The 17,638-nt window shown below is 41.0% G+C and overlaps 1 long non-coding RNA gene and 1 other non-coding gene across 2 annotated transcripts, besides 2 other annotated features; both read left to right on the top strand.

Moving 5' to 3' along the window:
* Positions 6,700-7,691: an enhancer, noted in NCBI's record as "H3K27ac hESC enhancer chr6:28806089-28807080 (GRCh37/hg19 assembly coordinates)". NCBI's record gives its function as "activates a minimal SCP1, AML or CMV promoter by ChIP-STARR-seq in naive and primed H9 embryonic stem cells {active_cell/tissue: H9 hESC(naive and primed)}" and the evidence as "EXISTENCE:reporter gene assay evidence [ECO:0000049][PMID:30033119]".
* Positions 6,980-8,762, top strand: LOC124901296 (uncharacterized). The gene is made up of 2 exons (XR_007059539.1): positions 6,980-7,253; positions 7,683-8,762. It is a non-coding gene; the product is annotated as an uncharacterized LOC124901296 (long non-coding RNA).
* TRA-AGC2-1 (tRNA-Ala (anticodon AGC) 2-1) lies at positions 7,488-7,559 on the top strand. The gene has a single exon. It is a non-coding gene; the product is annotated as a tRNA-Ala (tRNA).
* Positions 7,692-8,683: an enhancer, noted in NCBI's record as "H3K27ac hESC enhancer chr6:28805097-28806088 (GRCh37/hg19 assembly coordinates)". NCBI's record gives its function as "activates a minimal SCP1, AML or CMV promoter by ChIP-STARR-seq in primed H9 embryonic stem cells {active_cell/tissue: H9 hESC(primed)}" and the evidence as "EXISTENCE:reporter gene assay evidence [ECO:0000049][PMID:30033119]".

Below are 17,638 nucleotides of genomic sequence, written 5' to 3'. Positions count from 1 at the left end.
ATTTCTGCATATCCTCTCCAACACTTGTTATTTTCTATTCTTTTCATAGGGCCATCCTAACAGATGTGAGATTATATTTCATTATGATTTTGATTTGTATTTCTCTAATGATTAGTAATGTTGAACATTTTTTCATATGCTTATTGGCTATTTGTATATCTTTTTTCAAGAAATGTTTATTAAAGTCTGTTGCCCATTTTAAAATCAGGTTATTTGTTTTTTGTTGTTGTTGAGTTGTACAAGTTCCTTATATACGCTGGATATTAACCCTTTATCAGTTGCAAACATTTTCCTCCTGTTCCATAGGTTGTGTTTTCACTTTTTTGATTGTTTCCTTTGATGTGCGGAAATTTTTAAGTTTGGTGTGGTCCCATTTGTCTATTTTTGCTTTTGTTGTCTGTGTTCTTGGTGGCTTGTCCAAGAAATCACTGTCAAATCCAATGTCCTGAAGCTTTTCCTCCATGTTTTCTTCGAGGAGTTGTATAGTTTTTGGTCTTATGTTTAGGTCTTTAACCCATTTTGAATTTTTTTTGTATATGTATAAAGATAAGGTCCAATTCATTATTTTGCATGTAGATAACCACTTTTTCCAATACTGTTTACTGAAGGCTCTGTCCTTTCTCCATTGTGTAGTCTTGGCATCATTGTCAAAATTATTCATCCATATATGCAAGGATTTATTTCTGGGCTCTCTGTTCCATTAGTCTGTATACCTGTCTTTATGTCAGTAATACAACCATCTTTTTTGTTTGAGACAGAGTCTTGCTCTGTCACCTGTCACCCAGGCTAGGGTGCATTGGCATGATCTCAGCTCACTGCAACCTCTGCCTGCCGGGTTCAAGCAATTCTCCTGCCTCAGCCTCCCAAGTAGCTGGGACTATAGGCACGTGCCACCATGCCCAGCTAATCTTTTGTATTTTTAGTAGAGACGGGGTTTTACCATGCTGGCCAGGCTGGCCTTGAACTCCTGACCTCGTCATCCACCCACCTTGGTCTCCCAAAGTGCTGGGATTACAGGCATGAGCCACTGCGCCTGGCCCCTACAACCATCTTCATTAGCGTTGCTTTCTAGTATGGTTCAAAATCAGGAAGAATGAGTTCTACAGCTTTGTTCTTTTTCAAGATTGTTTTGGCTGTTCAGGTTCCCTGGAGATTCCATATGAGTCTTAGGATGATTTTTTTCTATATTTTCCTATTTCTGCAAAATTGCCATTGAGTTTTTGATAAGAATGCCATTGAATCTGTAGATCACGTTGGATAATATGTACTTATTCACAGTATTAAAGTCTTCCACTCCACAAGCACAGGATGCCTTTCCATTTATTTGTATCTTGTCTGATTTCTTTTAGCAATGTTTTGTAGTTTTTCCCGCACAAGTCTTTTACCTCCTTGGTTCAGTTTATGCCTAAATATTTTATTCTTTTTGGTGCTATAGTAAATGGGATTGTTTTCTTAATTTTCTTTTCAGGTTGGTCATTGCTAGTTTGTAGAAATGCAACTGATTTTTGTGTGTTCATTTTATACCCTGCTACTTTTCTAAAGTTGTTTATTAGTTGTAACAGGTTTTTTTGTGTGTGTGTGGGAAGGTCTTCAGGGTTTCCACATATAAGATCATGTCATCTGTAAACAGATAATTTTAGTTTTCTTTTCCAGTTTGGATGACTTTTGTTTCTTTCTTTCGTTCTTTCCTTCCTTTTCTTTTCTTTCAAGACGGGGTCTGGCTTTGTCCCCATGCTGGAGTACAATGGTGTGATCTCGGCTCATTGCAACCTCCACCTCCCGGGTTCAAGTGAACCCTGCCTCAGCCTCCCAAGTAGCTGGGATTACAGGTGCATGCCATCATGCCCGGCTAGTTTTTGTAGATTTTTATGGTTATGGGGTTTCACCATGTTGCCTAGGCTGGTCTTGAACACCTGGGCTCAAGCAGTGCACCCTCTCGGCCTCCCAAAGTGCTGGGATTACAGGCTGTAGCCAGCGCACTGGGGCTTTTTTTCTTGTCTAATTGCTCTGAGTAGGACTTCTAGTGCTATGTTGAACAGTAGTGGTGAGAGTAAGCATCCTTGCCTTGTTCTAGATCTTAGAGGAAAAGCTAAGGCCACTGAATATATTACCTGTGGGCTTTTCATGTATGGCTTTTATTAAGTTGAGGTAGTTTCATTCTATTCCTAGTTTGCTGAGTACTTTTTTCTTTTTTCTTTTCTTTTTTCTTTTTTTGAGTCGGAGTTTTGCTCCCTTGACCAGGCTGCAGTGCAGTGGCGCCATCTCTGCTCACTGCAAAGTCTGCCTCCCGGGTTCACGCCATTCTCCTGCCTCAGTCTCCCGAGTAGCTGGGACTACAGGCGTCTGCCACCATGCCCGGCTAATTTTTTTCATTTTTTTTAGTAGAGACGGGGTTTCACCGTGTTAGCCACGATGGTCTCGATCTCCTGAACTCGTGATCCGCCCGCCTCGGCCTCCCAAAGTGCTGGGATTACAGGCGTGAGCCATCGCGCCTGGCCGCTGAGTGCTTTTTTCATAAAAGTGTGTTGAATTTTGTTGAATCCTTTCTGTATCTCAATTGAGATGATATTTGATTATTGCCATTCATTTTATTAACATGGAGTATTATATAACCCTGGATATTTCACTCCCAAGAGTGCTAATCCTCTGACATTAGTCTTCGTGGTGATGCAGTTTTTGGTATGCCCCCAGTCACCCTGGGATGACAGTGGTGCTGGCAATGTTCTTTTTCACTCTTTTTCTGACCACACCCTACTGTTGTGTTTCAGTTATTGCTGACCAGTTGTTGTATTGTTTTCAACAATGCCTTGAGGTATAAATTCCTCTATGAACAAATCCAATCAAAATGTAGCTCCTTAAATGGAATAGTTTCTGATGTAAGTATTTGATATTTGTCCTGACTCCAAAAGGGTTCCTCCTACCTGTCTTATTTCCTGATTCTCTCCTGCATACTAGCCAGACTGCAGTTTAAGATCTATCTTTCTTAGATTCACAAATTTCCTCCCAATTACCTTTCATCAAAATCTCCACCATTCTTGAGAATGCCCTTAGCTTTCCACTTCTCTATTCTATGTTACAAATTAAATCAGTTATTTTGGGAAAGGATTGGAAGCTATCTACTTTTTGGCTCATTTATTTCTTCTTCTTCTTTTTTTTTTTTTTTTTTTTGAGATGGAGTCTTGCTCTGTCGCCCAGGCTGGAGTGCAGTGGTACAATCTCAGCTCACTGCAACCTCCACCTCCTGGGTTCAAGCGATTCTCCTTCCTCAGCCTCCATAGTAGCTGGAATTATAGGCACACACCACCAGGCCCAGCTATTTTTTTTGTATTTTTAGTAGAGATGGGTTTTCGCCATGTTGGCCAGGCTGGTCTCAAACTCCTGACCTCAGGTGATCTGCCCGCCTTGGCCTCCCAAAGTGCTGGGATTACAGACATGAGCCACCATGCCCGGCTGGCTCATTTCTTTCTATAGGAAAAATCTCTGAGCTAGGACTCTGGAGCTAGAGGTGGTAACAATTGCATGTTTCTCTTTGTGGAAGAAAAGTTCTAGATGCTGAACACTCAGTGGATGAAGTGCAGTAGTCTGAAATCCTCTTGGCTTGTATTTCCTGTTTTGAAGCCACTGCCTCACAAGCCGCAGTAAGAGCTATTAGCACCTTAGTATTCTCTGTGTGCCATGCTCAAGGTAGAGTATTAACTATGTAGGGGTGGCGGAAAAGCTTCCTCTCTGCCCACTGAAATTTGCTGAAAATGAAGTGACAAAGGCAGATTAATAAAAGAAAAAGACATACAAAATTTATTTAACATACATAAGCATGGGGTAATTGTAGGAGAGTGATTACCCAGTGTCCCAGTGAAGTTCAAATACATATATGCCCTTCTTCATAGGGGAAGGAGAGATTGAAGCTGATCATTTAGTATTCCTTTTTACAGTGACATTATATTGATGTACCATAGTTTTCTCAAATTGACCCTTTTGTCAGACATTTGGATTGTTTCCTTTTTTTTGTTTTTTTTTTTTTGAGATGGAGTCTCGCTCTGTCTCCCAGGCTAGAGTGCAGTGGCATGATCTTGGCCCCAGCCTCCCTAGTAGCTGGGGCTACAGGCACGTGCCGCCACACCCAGCTAATTTTTTGTATTTTAATAGAGACGGGGTTTCATCATGTTAGCCAGGATGGTCTCAATCTCCTGACCTGGTGATCCACCTGCCTCAGCCTCCCAAAGTGCTGGGATTACAGGCATGAGCCACCGCACCCGGCCTGGATTGTTTCCTTCTTTTGCTTTACAAATAGAGTTGTGATGAATAGTCATGCATCTGTTTTCCTTTTTATTTATTTAGTATTTATTATTATTATTATTATTTGAGATGGAGTTTTGCTCTCTCACCCAGGCTGGAGTGCTGTGGTGACATCTTGGCTCACTGCAACCTCTGCCTCCTGGGATTCAAGCAATTCTCCTGCCTCAGCCTCTTGAGGAGCTGCAATTACAAGTGCCCGCCACTACACCTGACTACTTTTTGTATTTTTAGTAGAGGCAGGGTTTCACTGTGTTGACCAGGCTGGTCTCAAACTTTTGGCCTCAAGTGATTTGCCGGCCTTGGCCTTCCAAAGTGTTGAGATTACAGGCGTAAGCCACTGTGCCTGGCCCTTTTTATTTTGATAGTATATATTAGGGATAGCTTTTTAGAAGTGGAATTTGTGGGTTAAAGGGTAAATAATTATACATTTTTTCTAGATACTGCAAATTTTCTGCCCTTGGAATTATACCATTTTCCATTCCCACCAGTACTCTATGAAAAGACTAATTTCTCGGCAACCTTGACAACAAAGTATGCTATCCAATCTAATTTAGTATGTCTTTCACTTATTATGAGTAAAGTCAGGGTATTTGGGGTATCCATCACTTTGAGTATTTATCATTTCTATGTGTTGGTTTCAGGTTATCTCTTATAGCTACTTTGAAATATACAATACATTGTTGCTAACTATAGTCACCCTACTCTACTATCAACATTAGAGGCTGGCTGTGGTGGCAGGCACCTGTAATCCCAGCTGCTCAGGAGACTGAGGCAGGAGAATCACTTGAACCTGGGAGGTGGAGGTTGCAGTGAGCTGGGATGGTGCCACTGCACTCCAGCCTGGGCAAGACAGCCAGACTCCAACTCAAAAAAAAAAAAAAAAAAAAGAACCTATACCTTCTATCTAATTATATGTTTGTACACATTGACCAACCTGCCTTTGTACGCAGCTCCAATGCACACACCCTTCCCTGACCCTGGTATCTATGATTCTACTCTCTACCTCCATGAGATCAACTTTTTAAACTCCCACATATGACTGAAAAGATGTGAAATTTGTCTTTCTGTTTCTCGCTTACTTTATTTAACATAATGACCTCCAGTTCCAATTACAATGGATTATATTAATATCTTTCCTAATAATGAGTGATCTTTACACTCCTGGAATAAACCCTACTTGGACATCCTGTATTACTGTTTTAAATGTGCTATTGTATTCTGTTTGCTATAAATTTTATTTAAGATTTAGGCATTACATTTCATATATTTCATATGTGAAATTGACCTGTAGTTTTCATTTTTAGTGCAAACTGAAATGTTATACTAACTTTATAAAGTGCTAGTGTCTATGCTTCGAATAATTTAAGTAGCATCATGATTTTTTGATATTTGACAGTTTGGTAGGATTTCTTTATGAAAGTATTTGAGCTTGGTGCCCTTTTTATTGAGTATGCCTGTTAAACTATTTTTCTTAACTGGTCTGTTTAGACTTTCTGTCTCTACAAGGGTTAGTTTGAGTATGCTACATTTGTCTAAAAAATCCACTAAGTTTGCCAGTTATTTGCTAGTTGTGTTATGTTATCTCTGATGATTTCAAAAAAGGTCTTCTGTGTTGATGATTATTTCCTCCAGTTCTAATTTTGTGTATTTGCACTAATTTTCTCTTTGTTGGCTAGAGGTTTGTCTATTTTGTTGACTTTCAAATATCCACCTTTTTTGTATCTTTATTAGTTATACTTTGTTTCTAACTCATTCTCTGAATTTGTCCTTACAACCCTTCCTTCCTCATTCTTTTGGTTTATTTTGTTGTTCATTTAGTAGCATCTTGAGCTGTGTTTGATTCATTTGTTATTTTTTGTTATCGATATAGGTATGTGAGGAAATAAATTTCCTTCTGATAAATGCTTTAGCTCTATCTCACAGATTCTATGTCACATTTGCACTTTTGTCCCTTTCAAGAAATTATGTAATTAAAATTTGTATTTCCTTCTTGACTCGAGTTGTATTATAGCATGCTTTAAAATTTTCAGGTGGAAGTGACTTTTATTTTTTATTTTATCAATTTCTAGTTTTATTGCATGATGGTCAGAGAATGATGTTTGTGTTATTTCTATACTTTGGAACTTACTGAGGTTTTCTTCTGTGGTCCGTTTTCATGAATGTTTCACAGGTACTACAAAAGAATGTGGTGCGGAGAGAGAGGTATACCGGACCCGAACTCTCTCGCCACACTCTTCCTCGTTCCTTGATTATTTCCGGTAATGCTCCTGAATCCACATTTTTATGAAAAAAAAAAAACCACTTTATTCTTCTTGTATGCGACCCTCTGCAAACTGTTTTTTTTAAATAAAGTATTCAAGTATGATTGACGTCCCTTTAATCTCAGATGGGCTGATAATAGGATTGGATAATTCTGTTATTCACCACATCCCCTTATCTTGTCTTTCTGCCCATTTAAGCTACTCTCCCAGTGTTGGCTGAGACCCTGTGGGTTCCTTGGGCTGGGAGGCAGAAGCCCGGAGCTCAGAGGATGAGGTTGGTGAGCCAGACCCGGCACACGGAGGGCTTGATGAATCGTTCATGCGCGTGTTGAGTGTATACCGCCCTCGTATCGTTTTCTGCCAATCGGGACCGGACCGGGAGCGGATTCTGCCCGAAAGGGGGCGCGATCTGGCGGGTGCTCCTCTTCCTCGCTCCCCAGTCCGCGCCTCGCTGGGCTCAGCACCCCGGCCCCCGGCGGGACGGAGGCTCGGGTCCAAAGCAGTGGCTGCACCGACACGAACCCGTCTGCGTTTCTCCACCTGTCTTCCCTCGCCACCTGCATCTACTATGGTCTCTAAATGCCTCGCTTTGTACTTTGTGGCTTTCTGGCAGCCCTTTAAAGCAGCGGTGAAAGAAAGGAGAGAGTCAAGACACGGGAGAAAATGTTTCATCCCGGGTTCTTCTAGTGGTGCCCGGTAAGTGACTCCGGACTGACGAGCAGAAAAATCCCAGGGCCATCAATAGAGGGCCTTCGGTGTAGAATGCGGTTTGCTCAGCTGTCAGCAAAGAGGGACGCAAAACCTAAATTTGAGATATCAGAAATAACTAAATAAAATAGACCTTGGCTGATTACAACTAATGGTTCTGAAACCTAGCAAAAGGGTCAGATTCTGATCTTGAATATACTCTCGAGAGAACCGTTTCAGTACGGGGGTGTAGCTCAGTGGTAGAGCGCGTGCTTAGCATGCACGAGGCCCCGGGTTCAATCCCCGGCACCTCCATTCCTTTTGCTTTTAATTTTTTTCCCATTGCTTTACTTTATTTTCCTTGCTTAAACAGAAAGTAACCCTATTTCACAACGGTTTTGCCATTAATATTAGTGCTGTTCCATTTCTACTCCTCAGCCTTGACACGACTCGGGGGACTGCCTAAGCAAAAGGTGGAAAAGATGGAGCTGGAAGACAAAGACGGCTCCGGATTCCAAAACTTCAATGGCGTCGCCAAATTGACGAGCTCATTAACCTTTGGAGTATTGTTATTTAAAAAGTAGGAAATAAAAGATAAATGTGGAAATATTTAATAAAAGAAAAACGTAAGCTCTCAATTTTCTTTATTACTTTTTTTTTTTTGAGACGGAGTCTCTCGCTCTGTCGCCCAGTGGCACGATCTTGGCTCACTGCAAGCTCCGCCTCCCGGGTTTACGCCATTCTTCTGCCTCAGCCTCCCGAGTAGCCGGGACTACAGGCGCCCGTCACCACGCCCGGCTAATTTTTTCTATTTTTTTGGTAGAGACAGGGTTTCACCGTGTTAGCCAGGATGGTCGCGATCTCCTGACCTCGTGATCCTCCCGCCTCGGCCTCCCACAGTGCTGGGATTACAGGAGTAAGCCACCACCGCTCCCAGCCGATTTCCTTTATTTTTTTTCTGGTCCTTGTTTAGCCATGATCCATCGCAGGCTGAGCCCTGACAAACGCAAAGCCTTCCAAACTGGGAAATTGAGAAAGTTATTTTCATCAATGAATGTAGAGGCGTCACACTTCTGCCGAAATAGCTCCACTGGGAAGCATGCTCTGCTGAAGATCTCAAAGTTCACGGACTGATTTCCAGTTTTATTCTGTCTTCACTCCTGCCGGATAATTTGACTTCCCTTAGATGACGTTACAGAAGTAATTTTACCTAAGACAGGTGCGCCCTCTATCGTAAGGATATCTTTCAGACTCTTGGTCCACACAAGAGTTGGTGGCACCGGAGAGCTTGTTAGAAGAGCGAAATCTCAGCTTCACCTCAGACGTACTGAACCAGAAGTAGCAATTTAACAAGATCCACAAGAGATTCTTTTGCACATTTAAGAAGCAATATGACGTGCTTTGACGTGGATGGAGTAAGGGTGTATAGTATAAATACGCGGCTGTGTTTTTTCCCCCAATTTTCTATTCTAACAGAAAACATAATTGCAAAAAATATATATTTCTATTGCTGAATCATTTTTGTGTTCTAATCATTGACTCTGTTCCTTGCCTCTCTGGCAATATTGTACTTAGTAATATTTTTTGAATCACTATTCATGATTGAATATGATGTGAAGTTTTCATTTTCTTTTTTTTTTTTCTTGAGACGGAGTCTCACTCTGTCGTCCAGGTTGGAGTGCAGTGGCGCGATCTCGACTCACTGCAACCTCCGCCTCCCGGGTTCAAGCGATTCTCCTGCCTCAGCATCCCGAGTAACTGGGACAACAAGCGCGCGCCACCGCGCCCGGCTAATTTTTTATATTTTTTTTAGGGACGGGGTTTCACCATATTGGCCAGGCTGGTCTCGAACTCCTGACCTCATGATCCGCCCGCCTCGCAAAGTGCTGGGATTACAGGCATGAGCCACCACTCCCGGCCTTTATTTTCTTTTTCGCAAGTTTTGCAATAAAGGCTGTGCTAACTTCTAATGTAAACTGGGAAGTTTGTATCCTTGCTCTGAAACATTTTAAATAGAATAAGACCTTGTAATCATTCCAGAATACACAGCCCTCTTCTCATCAGCTACCACCAAATCTTCAAGAACTTTTGTATTAACACCACTTTGTATTCTAAGCCCTGTGATAGATTTTAAAGATCCAAAACCCTTTGCTAACCCTAATGAAAGTGTGAGCTGAAGGATATCTCAAGAATTGGGAAATCCTTGGTTTCCGATATAATATCAGGCCACCTCTGTCCCTGTGAAGTGATTAGGAAATTTTCAATGGAGAAAATAAGTTCCAAAAGTCATTCTTTCTCAGATTAAGATGTCTTGGGTTTCAGTTTACTTCTTTAAAGAAAGATTCAGAGTTAGTACTGAGGACCCAGACTTTCTTGATGTGGGAAATAGATAATTTTCTGTTCTGTTGACATTTTTTCTCTCTCTTCTCTCATTTTCAAAGTACAGTTCCACAATGTCTCTTTGCCACTTATACTCACTGTGGCAGAAAAAAATTATTCACAGGCTTCAATCATGGGAATCAATTTGCAAAGGAATATAGTAAAAGCATGAGGAAAATTATCATGAATTATTACCATTGCTTTATGCTAGGGCTCAGGCCCAAATGGAAATATTTTTTTCTGCTCCCCACAATAGACTTCTTTAAGGAAGTCCACCTCTGTAATTTAGGGTAGAAATGGATAGGATGCAAAAACCAAGAGTTTAATATAAGAAAGCTATAGAAAATATAGGATGGAGATTTCAAAAACATCTTGGGACAATGAAAACAAATGACATATGACAGATAGAAGTACTTCTTTGAGAGCAAACAGTGCCTATCTTTGGCCTAGGACAATAGTGAATCATTTTAAGGTACATTGTAGATGAATTTTGGAAATTCAACTATATTTTATTTTGGGGTTGTATACTTCAATGAGATCATATTTTAAAAAAATTTTTCTCCACAGAGAAATTAAGGACCTCTTTCAAAAATCAGCTGGGCATGGTGGCGACCACCTGTAATCACTGCTACTTGGGAGGCTGAGGCAGGAGAATTGCTTGAACCTCGGAGGCGGAGGTTGCAGTGAGCCAAGATCATGCCACTGCACTCCAGCCTGGGTGACACAATGAGACTCCATCTCAAAAAAAAAAAAAAAAAATTAAGGACTTCTGAGAGGAATGAGGACGTGGCCATGCGTGAGACCCTGGGTGAATGTGTGGGAAGCGGCAGGTGGGCAGGACCATTGGCTGCACAGTGATATGGAAGCAGACACAATCCATCAGGCCATGTAGTCAATCTGACTCAAAAGGTAGAGTTTTATTCTTTTCAAAGACATATTTAATTGAAGAAAAAAGATTATTTAACCCTTTACTGTCTAGTTCAGGAATTCTTTTTTAATATTCAATCAAGGTGGGAGACTTACAACAGTGTAATCAAACCTCCCTCTCCCTGTCAACAAATCAAGATGTAAATCCCAAAGAATATAGAGTGAATTCAATTTCTAGATTATCATATAAGAGCTCCTTACATGAAAACTATTACTCCACCTTTTTGTCAACTTTAAGAAAACAGTACTCAACCAGTTACAATCTTCTCTCTGGTTGTAGATTGTCTAGAGATGTCATTCGCATGTCTGCAGGCTCCCTGAGCAGAGTAATTGAGTATGAATGAGTTCTATCTCCTGAGATAAATGGTTGGTTCATCAGAAAAATCTCATATATTTGGAACTCATCCTATGTCTCCCCATGCATAGATATTTCTGAATGCTTACAGAAACTTAAACAATTCTCACAGTGTTCTCTGTACTTTGGGGCAAACAGAAAAAAAAAAAAAAAGAAACACCTCCTTGTGGGGAACTTCTGGTAATCTAACTGGTATCTTGGTTTCTTCAGGTGCAAGTTAGAGAATAATTACATGATGACTCTGGAAACAACTTTCACACCATCAAACAGTCTAGATAATTTTCTTTCTTTCTTTCTTTCTTTCTTTTTTTTTTTTTTTTTGAGACAGAGTCTTGCTCTGTCGCCCAGGCTGGAGTGCAGTAGCGCGATCTCGGCTCACTGCAAGCACCGCCTCCTGGGTTCACGCCATTCTCCTGCCTCAGCCTCCCGAGTAGCTGGGACTACAGGCGCCCTCCACTACACCTGGCTAATTTTTTGTTTTTTGTTTTTTTTTTTAAGTAGAGACGGGGTTTCACCGTGTTAGCCAGGATGGTCTCGGTCTCCTGACCTCGTGATCCGCCCGCCTCGGCCTCCCAAAGTGTTGGGATTACAGCCATGAGCCACCGCGCCCGGCCAAAACAGCCTAGATAATTTTTCTCACATCCTCCCAGCACTTTCACGCGCGCGCGCGCGCACAAACACACACACACCAGAGCTTGTAGAGTTTTGTGGGTGACACTTAAATACCCAATTTCAGTGAAACCTGCCATTATGTTTCCTCTTACCTATTCCGCTATCCCTATGAGCCAACAGAGAGAAATTCTGCCAAACCATAAGGTGTTCCCAACCTCGAAAGGGGCTCAGCAATATGCTTACCAATATAGGTAAAGTCATACATAAGGAGAATGAGAATGAAGATGAATGAGAAAAGATAACACCTACTGGGAAACTAGCCAGGAAATGAGACTTTCTGGGTCTTTTGTGAAAGTTTCAAGGCCATGGTGACAACCAGTGTGAATTCCAGGGTTGAAGATCAGCTAGGAAGAAGTTCATTTTTTTGCTTTTCACAACTATCAGTAAGTAAGTTTCTGATCTTCATATCTCAAAGGACACTTTGAGTTCTCATTGTACTCACACTGTATTGGTGCCTTCTACTCACTCCCACCTCCACGTATTCAGATCAGAGCACTGGGCTAAGTTCACTGTGTTTCACCAATGGGCAGGATCCTACGGAAGAATATGGTAAGTTCAACACGTTCCCAAACAAACTCACCTCCTCCTCCTAATATCTTGTCCATTCCTTCAAAGAACAATAAGCATCTCTATTCTGCTTTTTTTCCTCCTGTTTGTTGAGGCTCTCTTTTATGGATTCCCCACTTTCTGGCTTGCTCTATAAATCCAATAAGTCTTTGAATCCTGTGTCTAGCTACCTATGAATGTGCTTTCAAAATTTCAAAGTTTTTCTCCATCCTTGAATCTGCTATTTATTTCATGTCTTGAACATTATTCTGGGCTACTCCATGAACCTCCTCAGTTGCCTTCATGCTGTAGTACAATCAAGAACCCCTTGGCAATGAATAACAGGTTGCATGTGGTTTTCATTCTCACCTGGGGTTTTCTCATCAAAGTTTTGCTCTTACCATTCCTGTGAAGCAAACAGCAATAGCAGAAGTGCTTTATTCAGGAAAAAGCTGGTCAGTTTTCTAACGCAAGTTTCCAGTATTCTGCGTTCCATTTCAAGCTTTATTTGCCAAAACTTCAATATCCCCCACAGCTGGGGGTCTTCCAACTTAAAATGGTCACAAATCCTGCTTCTAAACCCAACACTTAGTGCTAAAACAATGAACACAGGAATGGAGACCCACAGAATATAACGAGATATTCCTTTATTTTTCATTTTATTTAATTTTTTACATCTTTAGATTGGAGAAATACCTTTTTAGGGTTTTTGGGTTTTTGTTTGTTTGTTTTTTGAGACAGAGTCTCACTCTGTCCCCAAGGCTGGAGTGCAGTGGCGCCATCTCCGCTCACTGCAGCCTCCACCTCCCAGGTTCAAGAGATTCTCCTGCCTCAACCTCTGAGCAGCTGGGGTTACAGGCACGTGCCATCACGCCCGGCTAATTTTTGTATTTTTAGTAGAGACAGGGTTTCACCTTGTTGGCTCGGCTGGCCTCGAACTTCTGACCTTAAATGATCTGACCGCCTCCAACTTCCAAACTGCTGCGATTACAAGCGTGAGCTACCGTGCCCGGCCACCTTTTTAATTTTTAAGTTATTTTTTATTTCCATATTTTTATTGTTTTCATATACTGCAATAGTACTTGGAGGACGACACAAATATCTCTTGGCATGAGGAGATGTAGTTCAGTGATAGAACGTGTGCCTTACATATAGGAGGCCTCAGGTTCAGCTCCCGAGAACCTTCAACGGTCAGTTTCCGAGTTCTTAATACCACTCCTTAGTACAAAGCACATTCAGGTGTCCTACTCTCTTTTCGTTGCCTGTCACATGAGAAGTAAACACGTGACCCCAAGACGTTAATTTCTGTTTTTTTTTTTTTTTTTTTAGAGATGGAGTCTCACTCAGTCGCCCAGGCTGGAGTGCAGTGGCGTGATCTCGGCTCACTGCAAGCTCCGCCTCCTGGGTTCACACCATTCTCCAGCCTCAGCCTCCTGAGTAGCTGGGACTACAGGCGCCTGCCACTATGCCTGGCTAATTTTTTTTTTTTTTTTTGTATTTTTAGTAGAGACCGGGTTTCACCGTGTTAGCCAGGATGGTCTCGATCTCCTGACCTCGTGATCCGCCTGTCTTGACCTCCCAAAGTGCTGGGATTACAGGCTTGAGCCACCGCGCCCGGCCTCTTTTTTTTTTAAGATTTTTTTTTTTAATCATTATACTTTAAGTTCTAGGGTACCTGTGCACAACGTGCAGGTTTGTTACATATGTATACATGTGCCATGTTGGTGTGCTGCACCCATTAACTCCTCATTTACATTAGGTATTTCTCCTAATGCTATCCCTCCCCTATCACCCCACCCCGCGACAGGCCCCGGTGTGTGATGTTCCCCACCCTGTGTCCAAATGTTCTCATTGTTCAATTCCCACCTATGAGTGAGAACGTGCAGTGTTTGGTTTTCTGTCCTTGTGATAGTTTGTTCAGAATGATGGTTCCCAGCTTCATCCATGTCCCTACAAAGGACATGAACTCATCCTTTTTTATGGCTGCATAGTATTCCATGGTGTATATGTGCCACGTTTGTTAAATTCAGTCTATCATTGATGGACATGTGCCTTACATATAGAAGGCACATTTGGGTTGGTTCCAAGTCTTTGCTATTGTGAATAGTGCCACAATAAACATACGTGTGCATGTGTCTTTATAGCAGCATGATTTATAATCCTTTGGGTATATACCCAGTAATGGGATGGCTGGGTCAAATGGTATTTCTAGTTCTAGATCCTTGAGGAATCGCCACACTGTCTTCCACAATGGTTGAACTAGTTTACAGTCCCACCAACAGTGTAAAAGTGTTCCTATTTCTCCACATCCTCTCCAGCACCTGTTGTTTCCTGACTTTTTAATGATTGCCATCCTAACTGGTGTGAGATGGAATCTCATTGTGGTTTTGATTTGCATTTCTCTGATGGCCAGTGATGATGAGCATTTTTTCATGTGTCCATTGGCTGCATAAATGTCTTCTTTTGAGAAGTGTCTGTTCATATCCTTTGCCCACTTTTTGTTGGGGTTTGATGGGGTTGTTTGATTTTTTCTTGTAAATTTGTTTAAGTTCTTTGTAGATTCTAGATATTAGCCCTTTGTCAGATGGGTAGGTTGCAAAAATTTTCTCCCATTCTGTAGGTTGCCTGTTCGCTCTGATGGTGGTTTCTTTTGCTGTGCAGAAGCTCTTTGGTTTAATTAGATCCCATTTGTCTATTTTGGCTTTTGTTGCCATTGCTTTTGGTGTTTTAGACATGAAGTCCTTGCCCATGCCTATGTCCTGAATGGTATTGCCTAGGTTTTGTTCTAGGGTTTTTATGGTTTTAGGTCTAACATTTAAGTCTTTCATCCATCTTGAATTAATTTTTGTATAAGGTGTAAGGAAGGGATCCAGTTTCAGCTTTCTACATATGGCTAGCCAGTTTTCTCAGCACCATTTATTAAATAGGGAATCCTTTCCCCATTTCTTGTTTTTGTCAGGTTTGTCAAAGATCAAATGGTTGTAGACGTGTGGTATTATTTCTGAGGGCTCTATTCTGTTCCATTGGTCTATATCTCTGTTTTGGTACCAGTACCATGCTGTTTCAGTTACTGTAGCCATATAGTATAGTTTGAAGTCAGGTAGCATGATGCCTCCAGCTTTGTTCTTTTGGCTTAGGATTGTCTTGGCAATGCAGGCTCTTTTTTGGTTCCATATGAACTTTAAAATAGTTTTTCTCCAATTCTGTGAAGAAAGTCATTGGTAGCTTGATGGGGATCGCACCGAATCTTTAAATTACCTTGGGCAGTAGGGCCATTTTCATGATATTGATTCTTCCTATCCATGAGCATGAAATGTTCTTCCATTTGTTTGTGTCCTCATTTATTTTGTTAAGCAGTGGTTTGTAATTCTCCTTGAGGAGGTCCTTCACATCCCTTGTAAGTTGGATTCCCAGGTATTTTATTCTCTTTGTAGCAATTGTGAATGGGAGTTCCCTCATGATTTGGCTCTCTGTCTGTTACTGGTGTATAGGAATGCTTGTGATTTTTGCACATTGATTTTGTATCCTGAGACTTTGCTGAAGTTGCTTATCAGCTTAAGGAGATTTTGGGCTGAGATGATGAGGTTTTCTAAATATACAATCATGTCATCTGCAAACAGGGACAATTTGACTTCCTCTTTTCCTAACTGAATACCCTTTATTTGTTTCTCTTGCCTGATTGCCCTGGCCAGAACTTCCAACACTATGTTGAATAGGAGTGATGAGAGAGGGCATCCCTGTCTTGTGCCAGTTTTCAAAGGGAATGCTTCCAGTTTTTGCCCATTCAATATGATATTGGCTGTGGGTTTTTCATAAATAGCTCTTATTATTTTGAGATACATCACATCAATACCTAGTTTATTGAGAGTTTTTAGCATGAAGGGCTGTTGAATTTTGCCAAGATGTTAATTTCAATATTACGTTATTTAGACTTCATGAGCCTCAAAACCACTCAAGGCAGTTGGCAGAGTAGAATAAGCTTGTCATTGATTAGTTTCCTATGGCTGCTGTAACAAATTATCTCAAATTAGATGGCTTATAACAACAGAAATTTATTCTTTCACACTTCTGGAGGCCAAAAATCTGATATGAGTGCAGTAATGTGCTACATGTTGACATTTTAGTAAACCACAGACCACATATCCTACGGTGGTCTTATAAGATTATAAAGGAGTTGGCTGCGCACAGTGGCTCACGCCTGTAATCCCAACACTTTGGGAGGCCGAGGCGGGCAGATCACCTCAGGTTGGGGGTTTGAGACCATCCTGACCAACATGGTGAAACCCCCATCTCTACTAAAAATACAAAATTAGTCGGGAGTGGTGGCACACACCTGTAATCCCAGGTACTTGGGAGTCTGAGGCAGGAGAATTGCTTGAACCCAGGTGGCAGAGTTTGCAGTGAGCCAAGATCCTCCCATCGCACTCCAGCCTGGGCAACAAGAGCAAAACTCTGTCTCAAAACAAAACAAAATAAACTACCTGCTAAATTCTAATATAAATTGGGGAATTTGTATCTTTGTCTCAGCCTAGCAACATTTAAAATGGAATGGGAACCATTTGAGAAACACATATCGTCCAAATCTTGACATTATTTCAGAACACGGTCTTGCCTCTTCCTCACCTCAACAACCAATCAGCAACAGTGGAATATATATGTGTGTGTGTGTATGTGTGTGTGTATATATATGTATATGTACATATGACAAAAATTATTTCTCTAAACTATTTGATAATGATTTTCAGACATTATATCTTTTTATTCCTAAATACTTCAATGTGTATTTCCTAAGAACAAGGTCAATTTCTTACCACAGCACAATTATCAAATTTAGAGAACTTAACATTGATAAAATAGTATTCTCTAATATACAGTCTATAAAAATTTTAATTGTATCAATAAAATCTTTTATAGGAATTTCTCTCCCAAACTAGGTGCCATTTCAGAATCACATATGAATCTAGTTGTCTTGACTTTTCAGTCTCCTTCACTTTGGAACAGATTCTTAATCTTCTTGTCTTTCATGAATATGTTTTTGAAGAGCATATGCCAGTGGTTTTGTTGAATGTTTCTTAATTTGTGTAGTCATGGTTACATTCAGGTCATGGAAATGTCACAGAAATCATGTTACCCTCTATCACACCAAGAGGCATGTGATGTCAGTTTTTCTCATTATTTATTATTATTATTATTATTTTTTTTGAGATAGAATTTCGCTCTTCTTGCCCAGGCTGGAGTGCAATGGTGTGATCTCGGCTCACCACAGTTTTGTATTTTTAGTAGAGACGGGGTTTCTCCATGTTGGTCAGGCTGGTCTCGAACTCCCAACCTCAGGTGATCCCCCTGCCTCGGCCTCCCAAAGTGCTGGAATTACAGACGTGAGCCACCACGCCCAGCCCAAATGAGGATTTTCTAATTTTATCCTTACTTCCACATTTATCACTTGGCACACAACTGTAAGGAAAATCTTCCCATCTTCCATATTTATGTGTTTAAGTTCCCAAGATTGATAATC

This window comes from Homo sapiens, chromosome 6 (genome assembly GCF_000001405.40).
Source record: "Homo sapiens chromosome 6, GRCh38.p14 Primary Assembly".
Lineage (NCBI taxonomy): Eukaryota > Metazoa > Chordata > Mammalia > Primates > Hominidae > Homo > Homo sapiens.
This window is presented reverse-complemented; position numbering and strand designations above follow the sequence as displayed.